At 48.0% G+C, this 21,619-nt stretch overlaps 3 annotated features.

The window, feature by feature from the left end:
• Nucleotides 12,606–12,789: a silencer, noted in NCBI's record as "fragment chr6:40272571-40272754 (GRCh37/hg19 assembly coordinates)". NCBI's record gives its function as "represses an EF-1alpha promoter that drives an FKBP-Casp9 reporter gene in an ReSE screen in phorbol 12-myristate 13-acetate-treated (for megakaryocytic differentiation) K562 erythroleukemia cells {active_cell/tissue: K562(+PMA)}" and the evidence as "EXISTENCE:reporter gene assay evidence [ECO:0000049][PMID:32094911]".
• Nucleotides 15,798–16,365: an enhancer, noted in NCBI's record as "H3K4me1 hESC enhancer chr6:40275763-40276330 (GRCh37/hg19 assembly coordinates)". NCBI's record gives its function as "activates a minimal SCP1, AML or CMV promoter by ChIP-STARR-seq in primed H9 embryonic stem cells {active_cell/tissue: H9 hESC(primed)}" and the evidence as "EXISTENCE:reporter gene assay evidence [ECO:0000049][PMID:30033119]".
• Nucleotides 16,366–16,932: an enhancer, noted in NCBI's record as "H3K4me1 hESC enhancer chr6:40276331-40276897 (GRCh37/hg19 assembly coordinates)". NCBI's record gives its function as "activates a minimal SCP1, AML or CMV promoter by ChIP-STARR-seq in primed H9 embryonic stem cells {active_cell/tissue: H9 hESC(primed)}" and the evidence as "EXISTENCE:reporter gene assay evidence [ECO:0000049][PMID:30033119]".

The raw sequence follows: 21,619 nt of genomic DNA on the forward strand, positions 1-21,619 counted from the left end.
GAGGTGATGGCGATGAATATGTCTGAATATGTATGTCCTTGTTTTCTTGGAATTGGTGTAACTGGGCTGTTCTGCAGGTTAGGTATTGAAAATTGCCAATGGAACATGAAGAAAAGTCAATAGACATATGTAAAATGAAATCATTACATAGAAAATGATTTCCCCTGAAGGCCTCGGGAAACTGTCGCTATCAAGGAAAGAAATGTGCCTCTGTCGAGCCTGGAAATGCATGTGGGCTTAGGAAGCTGTGCGGTCCCGCGGTGCTTTCCTCCTTCATCTGCTCAGCAATGGTGTGTCAGGCCTTGCCTTAGGGAGCAGTGCCGCCAGAGAAGGTGGACATGGAACCAGCACGGTAGTGGTGACTGGCTGCCCCCAGGAAGGGTCACTCTTCTTTCTCAACTACCAGAATTTAATATTTTCTTTATTCTAACCACTCTGGGCAACACAGAGATTCCAAAAACTGTTTTTGCTCTCCTGGAGGTTACGGTTTCCTCACCTGTAGGTTGAATATAATAATGTTTCCCACAATTGTTATAAGGAATAATGTCTGTAAAGCATATGAAACAGCACAATGCCTGGCTGAGTGTGAGCCTAACCACTTACTGTTTAAATGTGTCCGTTGTCTGTCTTCTGGTCTAGAATGTGAGCCCCTTGAGGCAAGGATTCTGTTGGCTGCCTCGCCATGCAGGTGACAGTACTTGGCAAATTGCAGGTGCTGAGGAAGTAGTGAATGAATGGATGAATGGAAACAACTCCAGGTACATAGTAACTTCTAGCTTGTTGGCATAAGAGTTTAACCTCAGATGAGGTAAAGCATCCTGTCCTTTTTCCTTGTAACACCCACCATAATCACACTGACTGATATTCTGTGTAATCATTTAATAGCTGTCTCCTCTATTAGAATAAAAGTCCCATGAGGTTCGGATCCTGTCTATCCTTCTTCACTGTGATTTCCCCAGAGCTAAGCACTGTCACAAAGTTGGTGCATGATAATTGATGAAAGGAGGGAGGGGAGGAAGGAAGTGAGAGAGGGAAAGAGCAAATGAACACAGATAGTAGCACTGAGTCATGGAAAACCCCAGGGCATGAACTCTGGGTCCCAGAAGGCTCTTGCATCTCTGATGATAGGTGGGGTCCTTGGATTGTGGGGGACAGTCTGACCTGCAGGAGTGAGCCCTTGGGAGGGGTGGGCAGGGTGGCTGCAGTGGCTGGGGCTCTGTGAGCTCCCCCATGTTCCTGTCCCCAGCCTGATGCTGTTCCTGCTGAAGCCTCTGTGCTTTCCCAGGGAGAAGGGTTGTAGTTGTGGATCAGTGATATTTGTTAATGAACCTGACCTGCAGAGGGATTTCATTTCCCTCCTGCAAAGGTCATTCTCCTCCCCAGGCTACTCTGTCAGCCTACGGGGGATGGAGAGACCAGAGGTCTCCTGACACAGTCCTCAGGGAAGCCCCACCCACCCCAGCTCCCTAGAAGCCTGTGACAGCTTTGCACATCCTCCGTTGCACTTGGAAAAGATATAAAACGTCCCCGTTTGTCTCTTAGTAAAAAAGCAGTGGTTTCTACCTTGTAATTAGGATTACTCTGCCTGCAGTGTGATGTTCCTTTTAATCACCAAAGGGTAAGCCAGCAGTTAGCATAATACAACATGTTCATCCTAATACACACAGGCATTGGTGGGGAGAGCAAAGCAAGCAGGGAGGAGCAGGCCCTGATTCAGCCACAGCAGTGGGAGGCAGATGCCAGGAGAGAGGCGTGCTGAACAGGAAGACGGCGGTGTGATCATCCAGGGCAGAAAGGGACTGCAGCATGGCCAGGCGGGTCGGGAGCCAGAATGGGACACCTGCTGGAGACAGGAATAGAGAAGTTCACAACACCTGTACTCAGGGAGCCCCAGTCTGAAGGGAGACGCAGTCCCATCCTCAGGGATCCCCAGTCTGAGGGGAATCATACCCCTTACTCAGGGAGCCCCAGTCTGAGGGGAGACACAGCCCCGGCCTTGGGTGGTCCCAGTCTGAGGGAGACACAGCCCTGTCCTTAGGGAGCCCCAGTCTGAGAGCAGACAGTCCCGTCCTCGGGAAGCCCCAGTTTGATACAGGAAAGAAAGCTTCTGGTCTCAGCAAGCCTCCTGTAAGAGGCAGAGGTGATTCCTGCTCTGAGCAGTTCACAGGGTGATGGTGGAGCTCCCAGCTTGATGGCAGAAGGACACTGCTCCTGCTCTCAGAACACTCTCCATCTGATAGAGGTGACACAGCCCTTGCTCTCAACAAGCTTTCAGTCTGATGAGAAAGACAGATCCCTTAGTCTCAGGAGGTCCCCAAACTGATGGCAGAAGGAAGTGAATTAAACTCCATTGAGCTTCTACTGTATACCAAGCTGCATGGTAGAGGCACCTAGCTACTCATTTAACCCTCTGTGGTGTACCCAGGGTCACATGTTGCTTGACTCCAAGGGGCATCATTCATATGGGACACCATGAGGGTGGTGTCCCTGAAGGTGCACACGTAAGAGAGGGCCCAGTCTGAGGGAGACACAGCTCCATCCTCTAGGAGCCCCAGTCTGAGGGGAGAAACAGCCCCATCCTCAGGGTTCCCCAGTAACGGGCCCCAGAAGGGCCCAAGTAAGCATACCTACTCCCAACTTACAGAGGAGACAAATGGAGCACAGAGAGGCTGAGCCCAAGGGCTCATAGCTGAGAAGCAGCAGAATCAGACCTGAAGCTGGGTTTTCTGAGCTCAGTCAAGTGCTCCTAGGATAGTTTCTTATCTGTGAGGGGAAATAAAACAGAAAGAGAGAAAAGCCTCCTACACATCCTGGTCTGGAGTTGCCCTATAAGTAGAGTCTGAAACAGAGGCTACCTCCTGGTGGCATTTAGCTGGGAAGTGATCTCAGGGAACAGGAGGGGAGTAGAAGGAAAACTAAACAGGGAAGGCAGGAAAGCCCATCCAAGCTTGCATTATCAGATTGGCCATTCCTGCAGGCAACTGGTGTGTGATCTCTCTGGGACCTCTCTGGAGCTTTGTGTAATATGTCTCAGCACCATGTGCCCAAGGGGATGAAAGGGAGAAAAAGTTACCCCTTGGCTGTCACCTCCTATTGGCCACGGGTGACCTGCACTTCCTGGTTACAGGTGCCTGAGCATGAAACAGGTACCAATGGGAATGAATTGGTATCAGAGAAACCCTGGGCAGGAAGTGAGAGAGGCAGGGCACAGGCAGAGGTGAGTTCTGTTGGGTTGCATCTGCACAAGGCTGGTTGAAGCAGGGACTGAAGGGAGGGGCAGAGATGAGGAGATTATACAATTGATATGGTTTGGCTGTGTCCCCACCCAAATCCTATATTGAATTGTGACTCTCATAATCCCCACGTGTTGTGGGAGGGACCTGGTGGGAGGTAATTAAATCATGGGGGTGGGTTTTTCCCATTCTGTTCTCATGATAGTGAAAAAGTCTTATGAGATCTGATGGCTTTATAAAGGGTGGAGCTCCTGCACCCACTCTCTGGCCTGCTGCCATATAAGACATGCCTTTGCTACTCCTTGGCCTCCTGCCATGACTGTGAGGCCTCCCCAGCCATGTGGAACTTTGAGTCATTAAACCTCTTTCCTTTATAAATTACCCAGTCTCAGGTATGTCTTTATCAGCAGTGTGAGAACAGACTAATACAGTAAATTGGTACCAGTAGAGAGCAGTGCTGCTGTAAAGATACCCAAAATGTGGAAGCAACTTTGGAACTGGGTAACAGGCAGAGGCTGGAACAGTTTGAAGGGCTCAGAAGAAGATAGGAAGATGTGGGAAAGTTTGCAACTTCCTAGAGGTTTGTTGAATGGCTTTGACCAAAATGCTAACAGTGATATGAACAATAAAGTCCAGGCTGAGGTGGTCTCAGGTGGAGATGAGGAACTCATTAGGAACTGGAGTAAAGGTCACTCTTGCCACACAAAGAAACTGGTGGCATTTTGCCCCACCCTAGAGATCTGTGGAACTTTGAACTTAAAAAAGATGATTTAGGGTATCTGGCAGAAGAAATTTCGAAGTGGCAAACTGTTCAAGAGGAAGAACAGCATAAAAATTTGGAAAATCTGCAGCCTGACAATGCCATGGAAAAGAGAAACCCATTTTCTGGGGATAAATTCAGGCCAGCTGCAGAAATTTTAATAAGTAATGAGGAGCCAATATTAATCAGCAAGACAATGGGGAAAATGTCTCCAGGCCATGTCAGAGACCTTCACGGCAGTCCCTTCCATCACGGGCCCCAGGCTCAGAGGCCTAGGAGGGAAAAGTGGTTTCCTGGGCTGAGTCCTGGGCCCCCCTGCTGTGTGCAGCCTAGGGACTTGGTACCCTGCATCCCAGCCACTCCAGCTGTGGCTAAAAGGGGCCCAGGTAAAGCTCAGGCTGTGGCTTCAAAGGATGCAAGTCCCAAGCCTTGACAGCTTACATCTGATGTTGAGCCTGAGGATGCACAGAAGTCAAGAATTAAGGTTTGGGAACCTCCACTTAGATTTCAGAGGATATGTGGAAATGCGTGGATGTCCAGGCAAAAGTTGGCAGCCAGGGCAGAACCCTCATGGAGAGCTTCCACCAAGGCAGTGTAGAAGGGAAATGTGGGGTGGAAGCCCCCACACTGAGTCCCCACTGGGGCACTGCCTAGTGGAGCTGTGAGAAGAGGGTCACTGTCCTCCAGACCCTAGAATGTTAGATCCACCGACAGCTTACATCGTGCACCTGGAAAAGCCGCAGACACTCAACACCAGCCCATGAAAGCAGCCGGGGTGGGCTGGGGGTGGGGGGGCTGTACCCTGCAAATCCACAGAGGTGGAGCTGCCCAAAGCCGTGGGAGCATCAGCGTGACCTGGATGTGAGACATGGAGTCAAAGGAGATCATTTTGGAACTTTAAGATTTGACTGCTCCACTGGATTTGGGACTTGCATGGGGTCTGTAGCCCCTTCATTTTGGCCAATTGCTCCCATTGGGAATGGGTGTATTTACTCAATGTCTGCATCCCCATTGTATCTAGGAAGTAACTAACTTGCTTTTGATTTTACAGGCTCATATTCAGAAGGAACTTGCCTTGTCTCAGATGAGACTTTGGACTGTGGACTTTTGAGTTAATCCTGAAATGAGTTAAGACTTTGGGGGACTGCTGGGAAGGCATAATTGCTTTTGAAATGTGAGAACTTGAGATTTGGGAGGGGCCAGGGATAGAACAACATGGTGTGGCTCTGTGTCCCCACCCAAATCTCATCTTGAATTATAGCTCCTATAATTCTCACGTGTCATGGGAGGAACCCGGTGGGAAGTAATTGAATCATGGGGGCGGGTTCTTCCTGTGCTGTCCTTGTGATAGTGAATAGGTCTCATGAGATCTGATGAGTTTATAAAGGGCAGTTCCCCTGTACATGTTCTCTTGCTTGCTGCCATGTAAGACGTATCTTTGCATTCTGCCATGATTATAAGGCCTCCCCAGTCATGTGGAACTGTGAGTCATTAAACCTCTTTCCTTTATAAATTACCCAGTCTCAGGTATGTCTTTATTAGCAGTCTGAGAACAGACTAATACAACAATGAAGGACCTACAGCGTCGGCTGCCTCCCACCCCAACCCCCAGCTGGTTGTACTCTCTGGGAAGTAGAAGCTAAAGTGGAATTGGGAATGCAAAAGTTTTTTTGAGAAGTATCAGTTGAGAAGGAAAAAGGGAGAAAGATCGGTCAAGGGAGTCAGCTTTGAGATGTCATCCCTTTAAGGACCCAGTCTTCTAGTCCCTAACAAGAATCTGAGATTCTGTGATGGAGGCCATCTAACAGAGCCCCCTTGGCCCAAAACAAATGCAGTAATGGAAATTCCTAGCTCAGGATTCTGCCATCCTTGGCCATGAAGTGTTCTGATTTGTGGCAGAGACTGCTAGATGTCCTCAATCTCTCTTTCTTCCATCTTCCTTGGTGAAAGTATCCCTCAATTTTTAACTGGGCTCATGAACTCCTGAAATAAAGTCTATAATCCCATTCTATCTTGCAGGTGGGTGTGGTCCTCTGACTAAATTCTAGCCAATAGGACATAAGCTAAAGTTAGAAAAGTGTTAAGGACACTTAGGAAGTGTCTTTAAAGAGAAGAATGTCCTTTTCTTTCTCATTTCCTTCATTTCTCATTTTGCTGGCTGGAATGTGGATGAGATGGCTGGTGCTCCAGCATCCATCTTGGATCACACAGTAGAAGCTATGTGCTGAGGAAGGTGGAGAAACAAGATAGGCACATGGGTCTCAGATGAGTATTGAGCTGCCATACCAGCCGCAGGCTGCCTACTTCTGAAATTGATTAATATGAAGTAGTAATAACCTTCTGTGTTTCGTCAGTGACTGTTATTTATCTTGGGTTTTCTGTAATTATCTGTATATATGTCTATCTTCTTATTGCTGGGGACTCAGGGAGGGCAAGGACCTGACAAGGCTTATTTATCTTTGTGTCTCTTGCACCCAGCAAGGAGGCTGTCATACAGTAGGTGTTTAGTGTTTGTTGAATGAATGAATGACATACCTTCATTGCCACTTGACCTGTGGAAAGGTAACCTAAAGGCTGGGTGCGGTGGCTCACACCTGTAATCCCAGCACTTTGGGAGGCTGAGGCGGGCAGATCACGAGGTCAGGAGATTGAGACCACCCTGACTAATACAGTGAAACCCTGTCTCTACTAAAAATACAAAAAAAAAAAAAAATTAGCCGGGCATGGTGGCAGGTGCCTGTAGTCCCAGCTACTCGGGAGGCTGAGGCAGGAGAATGGCGTGAACCTGGGAAGCAGTGCTTGCAGTGAGCCAAGATCGCACCACTGCACTCCAGCCTGGGTGACAGAGTGAGACTCCATCTCAAAAAAAAAAAAAAAAAAAAAAAAAGAAAGTTAACCTGAGAGCCTCCCTTTTGGTCTCATCTTGAATGGAATCCTAAACTGGAGGCCCAGGATCTAAGCACCTACTTGGGCCACTCCCTGTGCTGCTCAAATCTGGTACCCTGGAGGCCTCAGGCAAGGTGGGAGCCATGGCCATAGGGGGAGCCCTCCAGAGGTAGATGCCCCAGGGAGCAGTGGCTTCTGCAATTGGCTGAGGGAGAGTTTTCCAGGATGACTTGCAGCTCCCAAACCTGCCATACTCTCTCTTGCCTCCTGGCCTTTGCATAAGCTTTCCTGTCCTGGCATGCCCTTCCCTCTCTCCAGCATCCCCATATGGTTTTACTGGACCACTTCTCCCAGGTTTCAACAAAGAAGACACTTCTTCCTGGAAACCTTTCTTGTAGCTCCATCCCTTATGAGTGCTCACCAGGCCTCCTGCTTTTCCTACCTAGAAGCTCTTTCCACATTAGATAGTACCCTCCATGAGGTCAGGGGCTGCGTCCCCTCTGTTGCATAGCCTGGCACAGGTGGGCTCAGGGAAGGCTTGTTGACTTTTCTCTGGGCAGGGCTTGGGAGACAGGGGTGGCTTTCAGAGGATCGGAGAGCTCAGTACCAGCCACAGTGGCCTGCCCTGTGCCTCCAGCCTATGCCAGGCCTCAACCGTCTTCAGCTCTCCCTGCCCTCACCCTCGCTCCCTCTGCAATGCCCTGGCAGGACTGAGCATTTTCTGCTCTCAGTGACCTGTGACCAAAGCCACAGCAGCTAATTAACACCCTGCTGTGTGCTTGATCCCTGCCCTGGCTGGCACTCCACTCCGGACCATTCCCATTTAATGGGCTCAGCGCCTGCCTGGCAACCTCCATCCTCTCTCCCTTCACATGATTTAGCTTCCAGCCTGAGGTTTGCTTGCTTGCTTCACTTAGTAATTAACGCTTTCTTCTGACTGTTCTCTTCCCTCCTCCACTGACTGTATGTGTGATCTGGGACTGGGTCTCCCAGACAGGCTGAGGCAGGTGTGGACCCTGCCCCAGGGGATCCTGCAGTGGAGCTGACACACTGACATAGAGAGGCAAGTATAGGGCACAGGGATGACAAGGGAAGGACCGCAGATAGCATGTGGTCCAATGTCTACCTACTGTGCAGGAGGGAAGACTGAAGCCCAGAGACAGTGAGCAGGCTGTCCAAGGTCACCCAGAAACCTAAGCTGTCCTAGTCTGGGTTCCCCACCAAAAGTCTGAAAAGTCTGAAACACCATTTTAGATGCAGATAGTATATTTTGGGAGGGGACAGAAATAGGGGCTGGAAGAATGAAGTAGGAAGGAGAGTAAGCCAGCACAAGCGTGCCCTACCAAGCTGGGTTCTGCTGTGAGCAGTGCAGGTTCCATCACATGATGGGCTTGCTGAGGGCTTCAGAAGGGTCCACTCCAGAGGGGAAAGAGGGGACCATTTATCCTTCGGTTTCTGGCCACCATTGGGCAATGGTTGCCCCCTGCCATTGGGGTGCTGACATCCTCGCACCTCTGGCGTTGTGCCTATGTCTGTATAGCTGGCTGTGCAGCTTCCTGGGGGCAGTCACTGCCGAGGTGTAGAGAGAAGTGGTGCTGCTGAGGCAGGGTGCTGTGAGAGGACACCGCATGTGGCTGATTCTGCAGCAATGGCCACAATGAAAGGTTCGGCTGAGAGGCTGTGAGGTAGGGCACATGAGTGTCAGATTCACAATGCAGTCGTAACAGAACAAGAAAGCACAGCCAGCAAGGACTGTGCTCAGCAGCAACCATCAGAATACCCAACTCCACTGCCCACAAAAGAGAGGCTTATTTTTCTCCTATAAGAAGAAATATAGAAATAGGCAGCTGCTGGCAGAGGTTCAAGGATGTCAATACCAAAATCTGAGATTGTTAGTCTTTCCCTTGTGAGTGCAGCATGGCTGCTGCAGTTCCAGCCATCATATATACACTTCCAGCAGAAAGAAGGTGGAAGCATGGTGGAGGTGGGGGCAGGGGAGCACCTTTATCAGGTCAGCCAAAGCTGTCTCCAGGAACACTCCAGTGAACTTCCACTACAATGTATTGGCCAGAATAGTCATAAAGCAGCATATCTAAGGAAGAGGGCAGAATGAGGACAGTGGGGTGAGGGATGGGCAGTGGGCAGCCAGCAGTCTGCCACACAGACATAGCCTCATTTTCTTTTTCCTTTGTAGAGGAGCTGACTTCTGCCCCTGCTCACACTACACATTCTTTGTTGTTCCTAACTCATGGCTGGCCTGAGTGGCCCTGGTCTTTGGGACCGTTTAGGGTGAATGTTGGGCTTCTCCGCTGAGACCAGATGGATGAAGAGGGATGGAAAACAATCAGGAGCTTTCCCATTTTATTCCCTCCACTAATCTCTCCTTTGAAAGAAGTCTCTCTTGCAGGTGAAGCAGGCATTATCTGATTTCATCAGTGCTGAGTGCCATGCATAATGAGAATGATGTATTTTGATGTGTTTGTTTCCCTCTCCTGGCCAGTGGGCAATTTCACTGGGTGATGGGCCTGCAGAAGGGTGCCAAGGAGAGAAATGGAATCCAAGGCTCCCGCAGCTGCCCTGTGTCTGTGTGGGACACTGGGAAGTCAGCAGCCAGGAGTTCCTGCTGTCTGCATGTCCTGACCTAGCCTCCACCCATCCCAATTTGGTTAGGTTCACAGTGCCTACCTGTCATTCAGTGCCTCTCCAATTTCCCCAGGCAGGAAGAGGCACATCTTCCCAGTCTTACCAGATGGCCCAGCTGTCATTCATGGTCACCATCTTAGTCTGAACTCCCTGAAAAACTGACTCTGAGTCAAGGATTTGAGTGAAGATGGGGGAGGTGGGAAGCAAGGCAAGGAAGGGCAGGAATCTTCCGCACTGGAGTCCTATCCTAGGTTCCACTGTGAGCAACTGTGGCTCAGTCCCACTGCAGGCCTTTGGAAGACCATGTGGGACATGCCTCAGAGTGGACCCTGAAGCAACAGGGAGCTGGGGCACTTATACACCAACTCCATCAGCTGTTGGTTGAGGGCTGCGCCCAGGGGCTGTAATCCCCCAGTGTTCTGGATGCCACATGGCAGGCAGAACAGGATTCAATTGCCAGAAAAAGGCCCCAGGCACAGACATGCAGGCAGTGCCCAAGGAGAGTTAACCTGAGAGTGGCTACAATGGTGAGACCAGGGGCATGCGAGTGGAGCTCCAACAGTGATTACCACAGACACAAGGACTGTCCCAGCTGGAGGAATTAGAAGGGACCATCCCAATGGGGTGCTATCAGCATTGGTTGGAATGAATTTCCTTGTGTGGGACAATAGCCCTTTGCAGTATGTTGGCATCCCTGGTCCCACCCACTCAATGCCCATCATACCTCCTAGTCACTATGACAAACAAAAGTGCCCCCATACATTTCTAAACACCTCCTGTCTCCAGTTAAGAACCCCCAATACAACCAATCCCTTCATTTTCCAGATAAAGGACTGTCACTCATCCAGCAACTCACAGCTAGTTGTGAGAGGCCAAGCTAAGTCTGAAATGCGAGTTTCCTTAGTTGTTATAATTGCTTTCTCAAAAAAAAAAAAAAATTGGGATGGCTTAGTACTCATTCATTCATTCATTTATCACAATTTATTCAGATGTCCTGTCTGAGCTCTATACCCTTGTCTCCCCTCGCTCATGTCTAACCTGGCACCTTCCTGCTATGGCCTCAGGCCTGTCCCCAAGGATTTTGGCAGCATTGGTACCCTGTTGCCAATGAGCTCTGTGTGAGGGGAGGGCTGGTGGCTGCAAAGTGGCCTAGCACAGGCTGTGGCTAGATGGGAACTTCACTCTTCAAGAAGGCTGCCCTAATGCCTCTCCTGTAGCTGATGAAGGCTGCACAGCCGCAGTGATGGTAATGAGGCCCTAAGTCCCTAACATCATGCTCCCGGGAGGGAGACGCTACCCAGCAGCCCTCTCCTTGCCGCCTCCACACCATCCATCTGCCGCCCACTTGCAGCACCTGCAGCCAGGCCTGGGGCCACTCTCCACCCTCCAGGCCCAGGCTTCTCTGTGACTGGCAGTCCATTCAGGCCTGGCACAAACTACTGGCATCAGGCGCAGCATGAGTGCCATGCCAGCCTTGGAAATTATGGAGCATCTCTGGCTGCCACCCCAGGGGCCTGGTTACCCCACCCACCTCCAGCCATAATCCACCTGGCTCCCTCTGCTCTGTGCTAAGGGCTGGGACCAGATGGCGAATGATTGGGGCTGATTTACAGTGACAGCTAAGTCGGCTGAGGATGAGGTGTGGATGTCAAAAGGCACTGAGTAAGGGGCCTGCTAGGTGGGGGTGGGGTAGGGATGGGGACAGAAGCAGGGAAAGGAGGGGTGATCCCGAAACAGAAAGTGATGCAAAGAGGAAAGAAAAAGCCCAGGGCCATGAGAGGAGAGAGGAGAGGGAGAACAGAGGCTGGGAGAAGGGGAAGAGGGAGGAAATGAGTGTAGCTGCCATTAATTGAGCTCTTACCATATGCCAAGCATGGATGTTCTCAGGGCCCTGTCCAATATGATAGCCACTAGCCACATGTGGCATTTTAAATTCAATTAAAATTAATTATAATAACTATAATTACAAATGCAGTTCCTCGGTCACGTTAATCACATTTCGAGGGCTTGATAGGCACAAGTGGCTAGTGCACTGGACCGTACAGATAGAGAGCCTTTCCATCATCCTAGAATGTGCTAGCGGGTGGGCGGTAAAGGGGAGGCAGATATTAAGTAACAACAGTGCATGTTGCTGATATGCACATATATCTCTATCCATCTATATATCTCTACATGCATATATATCAGGCACTGTTCTAAGAACTCTACATAGATTTATCCACTTATATCAGCTGTAGATGACAGGTTTTTCTATCAGAGGTCAGCAAACATTTTCTGTAAAGAACCAGATAGTGCATATTTTAGGCTTTGTGGGCCATATAATCTCTGTCACCACTGCTCACCTCCGCCATTGCAGTGTGAAAGCAGCTGTAGACAAAACGTAAATGAACGGGCATGGCTGTGCCCCAGTAAAACTTTATGGGCACCATGAAATTTAATTTTCATGTGTCACAAAGTATTTTTCTTTTGATTTTCCAACCAATTAAAAATGTAAAAACCTTTCTTAACTTGAGGGTAGAACAAAACAGGCATCGGGCTGGATTTGGCTCATGGGCCATTGTGTGCCGACCCCTGATTGACATCATCCCCATCTCACAAATGTGGAAAGTAGGACACAGACAGACCAGATAGGTCACTGGAGGTCCCATAGCCACAAATAGCGAAGCTGAGATTTGTACCCAGGTGCTTGGGCTCCAGAATCCAGGCCCTCAGCCTCCCCACACAACAATGAACAATGTAATTTCTGGTAGTGATCATTACTTTGAAGAAACTAAGAGTGTGATATGGTAGCAAGCATGAGAGACATGTCGTCTAGATCAGGTGAACAGGAATACTGTACTGATGAGGGAGGCTTTGGCCTAAGACGGAGTGACAAGAAGGATGCAGCCATGGCATGACCCAGGGCACGACATCTCAGGCACGAAGGAGACAGCAGGTGCCATACTCTGCAGCAGGGTCATGGGTCAGCATGGCCGGGGAATGGAGTGAAGGCCAATGGCTGACTCCAAGGACAGGGGGTTGGACATGGAGTGAGGCTCATGAACTCTGATAAAACAGGCACCATTTTAAGTTTGATGGGTAGTCACTGGGGCATTTTAGCAGGAGAATGACTGATACAATTCATGGTAAAACCAAACCTCATCCTGGATGCATAAGAGAAGAGGCAGGAAGCTAGTTAGGAAGCTGCTACAATCGGTCACACAAGCAATGGTGGCAGTGTGGAGTGGGGCAGAGGCTGTGGAGATGTAGATATGAGAACAGATTTGAGTTATCTTTTGAATTGGAGCCAACATGATTTATTTTTCATTTGGATGTGAAATGTGAAGGACAAGGAAAAAGTGGAATGACTCCTAGTTTGGGGGACTTGAGCAATGGGTGGAAGGCAATGCCATATAGAGACTGGGAGGACAAGGAGAAGTACAGGTCTAGGGTGGGGAAATCAAGATTTCTGCTTTGGGACATGCTAAGTCTGAGATGTCATTGGACATCCAAGCAATGATGGCAAGTGGATGGTTCTATATTGGAATCTGGAGACCACTGAAGAAGCCAGGGCTAGAGATATAAATTTGGGGAGCAGCAGCAGGTAGGGGGTTGTTAAAATCATTGAATCAAAGGAAGGTACAGGTAGGGAAGAATAGAGGGTCTCGGAACTGCACCCAGCATTGGAGGAAGGGCCAAGGTGGAGGCTCCAGCAAAGGACAGTGAAAAGACGCTGAAGTCAAGCTGAGAGAAGAGAAGCTGCACGCAGATAAAGCTGCATGCAGATAAAGACTCAGATAAAACATTTATACTATATTTAACAAAATATTGACATTTGTAATGTAGGGTTTTTATAAATAATTATAAAGGCAAGTCTATAGAAAATAAGTGAAGAATATGAACAGGCAATTTATAGAAAAATAAAAAGGCTAATGTTTCAGCCAAGACCCAGGCAGAACACAGAATTTACACCCTGATGGTTCAAATGATGGCAATTAAATAAAGCATCAGCTTGTAAAGAAATGCACAGAGTTAAAGGAATAGGCAAGGGATGATGAAGTGCCCAAGGCTGGCAGCAGCAGGAAGCTGTTACCTCTCCTATGGCTAAAGAGGCAGAAGGGGCTAAAGAGGTAGAAGTTGAAAGAGGGGCCACCCCATGGGAGCTGTAGTTTTAGAACAATGCCAATACCAGAGGCATGGGGCTGGAGCAGGAAAAGAACACCTTGACCTCTCTCTTCTCTCCTCCCACCCTTCAACCTCCTGTCCCCCAGCATTCCAGGAATCTATTTCATAGACAAACACACATACATACAAAATATCAGCAGAAAAATCTTCACACTAGCATTGTTTAGAATGGAAAAAACTGGGAACAATATTAACATCTATCAATAATATTGATGATGATGTTGATAAAGATTATGAAAGCCAATAGGTATATGATGTGTGTGCATGTATGTGTGTGCATGTGCACTTACTATATGTCAGGCTTAATTCTAAGCAATTTCCATGCATCATCTTGTTTAACAATAATCCTATGTGGCAGGTACTATTATTTTAGTTTACATTGAGTAAATCAAACATCAATAAGGTTCTAGTGAAATCATGGTATGGGCATACTATGGAACACTGTGCAGCCATTTAAAAAAGGAAATAGGTCCAGATATATGAATCTGGAAAGAAACACATTGTTAAGAAAAAAGTCGCAGAAGTATTTGTATAGTGTGATTCCTTTTATATTTTTAAAATAGCAACTCTGTGTGTATTTCTATGTGTACAGAAAAGATCTGGAAGGATACACTCAACAAATAATGGTGGTCACTTAAGCAGAGAGGGTTGGACCAATGGGAGTTGAAGAGGAGTGGCATTTTTATTTTACATATAATCAGTATATACTGACATATTACTTATGGATGAAAAAATAAAAGGATCAACTGAAGAAGTAAAAGAAAACAGAGGACAAGAACAAGTCCCACTGTTGAAACTGGGATTTCAACCAAGCAGGCTCCTGTCCCAGTACTGCTGCATTTTAGCTGTAAGTTCCTGGGTAAACACATTGCTTCTCCAAGCTCGGTTTCTCCATCCATGAAAGGCGAATATTAATCATGGTACCCACCTCCTCAAGCTGGCATGAGATGCACATGAGAGACGTGTGAGAGAGTGTACATGAGTCATGCAGCCTGGTGAAGAACGCCCTACAGACGCTCAACAGGGCATGCTCAGCATGTGCTGTGCTTCCAGCCCCTGGGAGGCTTGAGGAAAGTGAAGGTGGCAAGTGGAGAGGGGATGGAGGGCCCACTTCTGTGATTCTGTGGCCAGGACTCTAGTCCCTAGAGTTTACAGGGCACTTTCTTCCCTGCTCACACAGAGCTCAAAACCCAGCACTCGGGGTTGACTCCACCTGCATGCAGCCAGCACATCCTCTCTGTTTGGCAGGAAGCAAATCATGTTCAGTGGCTCTGCAGCCACATCCCCTAATCCGAACTGGGAATGGAGGCCACAGTCATTCAGTAGAAAAGTGAGTTAGAGAATCACACACGTACGCCTCTTTGACCTTCTAGGAATTAATACCAATGTTTTATAAAGTGTTGCCAAGCCACTTTGAGGGCCTTTTAAAGTAAAGCTCATTTGCAATTCACACATTGAGGTTGATATGGAACTAAGTGGTGCCAAGAGAAAGAGTTGTGTCTACACACTCCCCAATAAGCTTCTTCAGAGGGTTATCTCCACCTAATGCTCACTGACATGGAACTAAGCTTTACAGCCCCAAGAACTGTATTGGTGAAACAAAAGTCTGGAAAGATAAATACCAAACTTATACCAGTAGTTAACTCTAGGGTGTGTGTGTGTGTGTGTGTCTGTGTGTTTATGAGGGGGTGAGACATTCCTATTTTCCTTCCAGTATTGATACAGTGCTTGGCTCTGTTGTGATGAAGATTGTTTTCAGATATTTTACGTGAAAAAAATTAATAAAATAAGAAAAAAGAAAGGCACCAAATGGGATTGTTCTGTGGAATACACAATATTATAGACGTATGAAGAAGGACCTGCACTTCCTACACATGAAAGTAGTTACGATTTATAGAGCCCTGATTTGGTCCCAGGTGCTGTGTTACAAGTGCTAAGCTACTGAGTCATGCAGATGACTCCACAAGGTAAGCATTATTCACCCCATTTGCAGAAGAGGAAAGTCGGGGCAGGGGTAGAACCACACCCTAAGTCATCAGTGCATGCATTCGCAGATTAGTGTGAAATCACAGAGCAATGAGAAATGGATTTCCTCCTCCCGGACAGAGTCAAAGAACCTCACCAGGAGGCTCTCCCTCCCTCCCTACCTAAGAGTCTTCAGAGAAAACCTTACAGCATCTGTTCACATGATATCAAGGAGCAAAACGCCAGCGAAATTAGAAACCCCACCATTCCGCCTTGCTGGAAGGAGCCAGGGAAGATAATCAATCTTCAAGATGAGGCTGCGAAGCAGAGCAAGCCAGGCTTGGCCCTTTTCAGAAAAGACCCCAAACAGGGGGTCTGGGCTGTTATCTCCTGGACGCTGGTCCTGTAGCCAGCTTCCAGGGGATAACAGGGGCGGCAGCCCGAGAGGGTCCCCTTCTCTCCAGAGGGGGCAGGCAGCAGGCTCACAGCTGCCCTCTCCCAACATTAAGACAAATTTATAGGAGTGCCAGCAAGGCGTAAAACACACGAAGATAGGCTGTTCCTCACTCCAGCCTGGCTATTCAACCCCCTCACTCCTTCTCCAATTCTGCTTCCTCACCTGCTTCCCGTAGCTGAAGGCAGAAGAATGCCTTAAAGACCCTTCAGTCACCGACAGAACAAGCCTGGCCTGGAGCCGCTCTCTTGGTGGCCACGCCCACCGCAGCCCCAGGACCCCTGGACCCTGTGCAGGGGGCTGTGTGCCCTTCCCTGGCTCGGCTTCTCCAGATGTTCCTTGTGGCTCTCCCTCCCCTTCCTCGCACCTCACTGGTGGCAAAGAGCCAAAGCCCCCGCACACAGTCAAGCTGGCAACCCAACTACATGGGATTCCTATGGCTGCAGATGGCCTGAGACGACTCTCAACCTTGACAGGATCTAGGGCTGGGGGCTTGAGATAGTCAACCAACGCCCAGCCCCTGGACGGGGTTAGAGTCACTCCTCCACCTCGTGGTCATTGTTGGAACTACACCCTGGGAAAGCCTGTCCTGAGAGGCACTTACTCCAAGGGATGATGGAGGAGGTTTGATGATGATGGTGATGGTGATGATGTGATGATAATGGTGATGATGTGATGATAATGATGATGGGTCATGAGTGTAATCACTTACCTCTTGCCACTTTCTGCTCACATCACCTCCTCAAAAGGGCTTTTCCCTGACCACCCTGTGTAAAATAGCACCACCACTCTCCTTAACCCTGCCTTATTTTTTGTAGCACTTATCATCTAAAATATTATTAGTTTGCTTATTTGTTGTTCGTGTAAGCTCCAGGAAAGCAGGAGCTGTGTTTTTTTTCACTGATGTATCCTGTGTAGCTAGGATTACCTCACAGTTAGCAAGTGTTCAATAAATATTTGTGAAGTGAAGGGGTTGGTAAATGACTCCTCAATCTCTCCCTGTGCCCAGCAGTCCTCCCAGCTCCTGGCAAGGCCACAGATCCCTCTCCCGCAGACTGAGTTTGCCTGTAATACTGGGAACAATCCCCATGCTCGTCTGGGAGATGTAAGGACCCTGTGTTAGTCTGTTTTGCATTACTAAAGGAACACCTGAAGCTTGGTAATTTATAAATAAAGGAGATTTATTTAGCTCATGGTTCTGCAGGCTGTACAAGAATGGCACAGGCATCTGCTCAGCTTCTGGTGAGGTCTCAGGAAGCTTTTACTCATGGCAGAAGGCAAAGGAGGAGCAGGTGTGTCACATGGAGAGAGAGGGAGCAAGACAGAGGGGAGGAGGTGCCAGCCTCCTTTTGACAACCAGCTCTTGGAGTGAACTAATAAAGTGGGAACTCATTCATTACTGCAAGGATGACACCAAGCCATTCATAATGGATCCTCCCCTATGACCCAAACACCTCCCACTAGGTCCCATCACTTTTCAACATGAGATTTGGAGGGGACACACATCCAAACTATATCAGACTCCAGGTCTCAAATCTGCTGGTTTGGCCCCCACCGGCCTGTGGTGGTCTTGCCCTTGGTGGTCAAGACCCTGCCCTTGGTCCTCGCCTTTAGCATCTGCATCCCATGGTGTCATTCCTTGCATCTGCGTCCTCCCTGCCTCATCCCAGTGTCCATGCATGTTGCCCTCCCACTGATTGCCAGGCCCTGGGCTGGGTGTTTTGTGTTCACTACCTCTGATCTTCATGGCACCCTGCAAGGTGGGCATTGATTATCCTCATTTTTAGATGAGAAATGAGTTCAGAGAGATGGCACAACTTTGCACATGTGATTTATGCCACCCCTGTGTTTTCCAGAGATGGTCCCAATGATGCTAATGGGTGAAACAAATAAAGAAAAATACACATAAAATAAAGTTTCCATGGTGAGAAATTTCAGAAAACACTGGGTTCAGCAAAGCAGAATTTTTTCTATCAGGACTTCTTAGACTCTTTAAAATGACCATGTGCATGGCAGCCCCCAGTGGGGAGGGGTATATGCAGGGCACAACATTTCCCAAACCTATCTGAATTTGGAACCACTTATCCAAGGAGCATCTCACAGGACATGGCTTGGATAACAAATGCAAAATCGGTTTCAATCCTCCTGGTCAGGAATTAAGATCAGTGGATCAAGATCGGTTTCAATCCTCCTGGTCAGGAATCAAGATCAGTGGATCAAGATTTGTTTCAATTCTCCTGGTCAGGAGTCAAGATCAGCGGATCAAGATCGATTTCAATCCTTCTGGTCAGGAATCAAGATCAGTGCATCAAGATTGGTTTCAATCCTTCTGGTCAGGAATCAAGATCAGTGGATCCAGATTGGTTTCAATCCTCCTGGTCAGGAGTCAAGATCAGTGGATCAAGATTTGTTTCAATCCTCCTGGTCAGGAGTCAAGATCAGCGGATCAAGATCGATTTCAATCCTTCTGGTCAGGAATCAAGATCAGTGCATCAAGATTGGTTTCAATCCTTCTGGTCAGGAATGCCAGGGGTGTAAGTGGGTGAAAGTCAGGCCACTCCTGCGTGTATCTTATTTGATCTCCGCAACAGCTCCATGAAGAAGGAATCCTTATCCTCACTTTCCAGATGGGGAAGCTGAGGCTCAGGAAACTAAAGTAATTTTTCTATGTTGCCCGTAAATATTTGAAGCTAGTGGAGTGTGACTATTCACCGGGTGCTCTTGAATGATGGCGAGAGGGAAAAGGATTAAGACAGTTCACCGGGAACCAGGAGACATGGTAGTAGACATGGGATCTACATGAAAGGAGTTCAGGGAGGAGGATGTGACTGTGTCCAGTCTCAGGGAGTCACCCCAGCCCTGACACACGATGACTGCCACCATAACTTCCACGCTCCTCGGTCCAAGTTCTCAGGATGCTCCTGCAGTTTTAATTAAACGCTGTGTATGGTGGCTCATTAAGGAGAAAACAGTTGTTCTGTATCTAAGTAGCCTCAGGTCTCTTCACCACTTTTACTGCTCAAACAACATCGCAGATAATTTTATAGTGTTTGGACTTGGTATTGCCTCTAAGCCTGGCAGGACCTCCAGGCCAGAGCTGTGTGGCAAATCACTCTGCTCCAAGGACACCGCCCTCATTTCAACAAGGATTCCTGGTCAGGCCCTACCTCCTTTCTCTCTTCAGACCCCCTCCCACCCCAGGGAGGGGCTCCGCCTGCCCTAATGTTGGTGCCAGGATCCATGATGATGGGAGGTAGGCAGGCTTTGGAGGGGTTAGACTGTGTGTACCAGTTCCCACGACTGGAAGGTTGTCTCGCTTCTGAGCTCTGATACACCATTTGGCAACTTGGTCCCTTATTAGGTTATTTCATAGGAAAGGATTAGGAGCCTATTAACAATATTAGTTTACCCTCCCACAGCCCTTGCCACAAGCCAGGCATTGTTCTGAGCTCTTTACCTATAGTAACTTGCCAAATTCTTACAATAACTCTATAGGATAGGTATGGTTGTTATCGCATTTAATAGATGGGGTAACTGAGGCAAAGAGAGTTTTAAGTTTCTTGCCCAAGATTATAAACTATTAATTGGTGAAGCCAGGATTCAAACACAGGCTCTCTGGCCCTGAGTCTCTGGTCTTGACCACTGTGTTATACCATCTGCTAAAAACCCGACTTTCAGCCTTGGCCTTGCTCTTCGTCAGCTCCCCTGAGTAGGGACTGTAATTCTGCCACTGATTCCCAGCTCAGGGATGACAGCTTGATTGACTACTTATCTAGGTCTCCAACCATCACTTGATCCTGGATTGGCATCACCTTTAGCAAATTGTGTTTTCCAAAGATGGTACAGCAAGATCTTTAGAACGTTCACACTCCCTCTCTGAATCTGGACAGATCTTTGTGACTGCCTTTCCCAGAAAATGTAGCCAGAGTGACAAAATGTAGCTTCTGACGCTAATACAAGTGTCATGCACTCCTGCCTTTCTCTTTGGGAACTTGGCCGCTATGTTGTGAGGAAGCCCAGTTAGCCTTTGGAGAGACCCATGTGGAGATAAACTGAGGGCCCATCAAGTTCCAAGCTGACAGCCAGCAATGACTTGGCAGTCAAGTGAGTCACTTTGAACGTGATCTTCCAGCCCCAAGTTGAGTCACTCAGCTAATGCTATGTAAAGCAGAGGCAAGCTGTCCCCACCAACTCCTGCCCAAACTGCAGATTCCTGAACAAAATAAATGATTATTGTTGTTTTAAGCCCCTATGATTTGGGGTGGCTTCTCACATAGCAGTAGATAAGCAGAACACCAGCTGTGTCTGCTGGTGTGATTCTGGGTCATCTTCTCTGACATACCCTTATTTTATTGCTGGGCTCTATCTGCCAGGCCAGACCTCTCCCAACTTCTCTGTCCCCACAATACCTGCCCCTCGCTGATACAGAAAGAAGAATGGCTGGTGCTTTTCCATCTGCCCATCTCCCTGCATGTCACAAGGCGCTGCTGGCCTGGGCCCAGCTGCCAGCCATCCTCCCAGCAACACTCAGCCTCCAGACTGACTCTGAATTCCAGGGACCAGTTTCCTAGGCAGTGGGGCCAATTCCAAGCTATCTTCCAGCTCACATATTTTTGCTTCACCAAGAAAGCTATTATTTCTCCTTTTCATTGAGTGTATTACATCAATTATTTTTTGTTATAAAACTTATAGTTAGTTCTTTTGCAAATTATCCAGTCCATTTTTATTGTTTTTCATAGATCTGACACACTTTGAGTCCCCTTTTAATTTTAAAACATATAAAACATACTACTTTCATACTACTTTCGGTGTGATGGTTAAATTTATGCATCAACTTGACTGGGTTAAGGGCTGCCCAGATAGCGGGTAAACATTCTTTCTTTCTGTGTCTGTGAGGGTGTTTCCAGAATAGATTAGCCCTTGAATCTATAGACGGAGTAAAGAAGATCTGCCCTCACCATTTTGCAGGGGCATCATTTAATCCATTGAAGGCCCAAAATAGAACAAAAAGGTGGAGGAAAGGCAAACTCCCCCCAGGCTACCCCTGCTTCATGAGCTGAGACATCCATCTTCTGCTCATGGACATTGGAGCTCCTGGTTCTGCTTCTTTAGACTCAAGGACTAACACCCGTCCTCCCCATCCCACCCCATCCTGAGTTCTTCAGCCTTGTAGTAAATTACATTACCTCCTTCCTGGTTCTCCAGCTTGCAGACGTCTTTGTAGGGCTCCTTGGCCTCCACAATCACATCAGTCAATTCTCATAATAAATCTCCTCTTGTATATCTATATATATCCTTTTGGTTTTGTTTCTCTAAATAACCCTAATATGCTGGGTAACAAACTATTACAATGCTTCCTATTTTTTAAACATTTTTTGTTACTCTTACTCATGGTGGCTTGTTTCCCTGTGGGTTTGGGGATTTTAAACTGTGAGCTTGTGCCCTGTCAGCATTTTATCTGTGAAAATTCTTTGAGATCTGCCTTTAGAGTATATTCCTCAGAAAAGATTTGTG

Source organism: Homo sapiens, chromosome 6 (genome assembly GCF_000001405.40).
Source record: "Homo sapiens chromosome 6, GRCh38.p14 Primary Assembly".
Taxonomy (NCBI): Eukaryota; Metazoa; Chordata; class Mammalia; order Primates; family Hominidae; genus Homo; species Homo sapiens.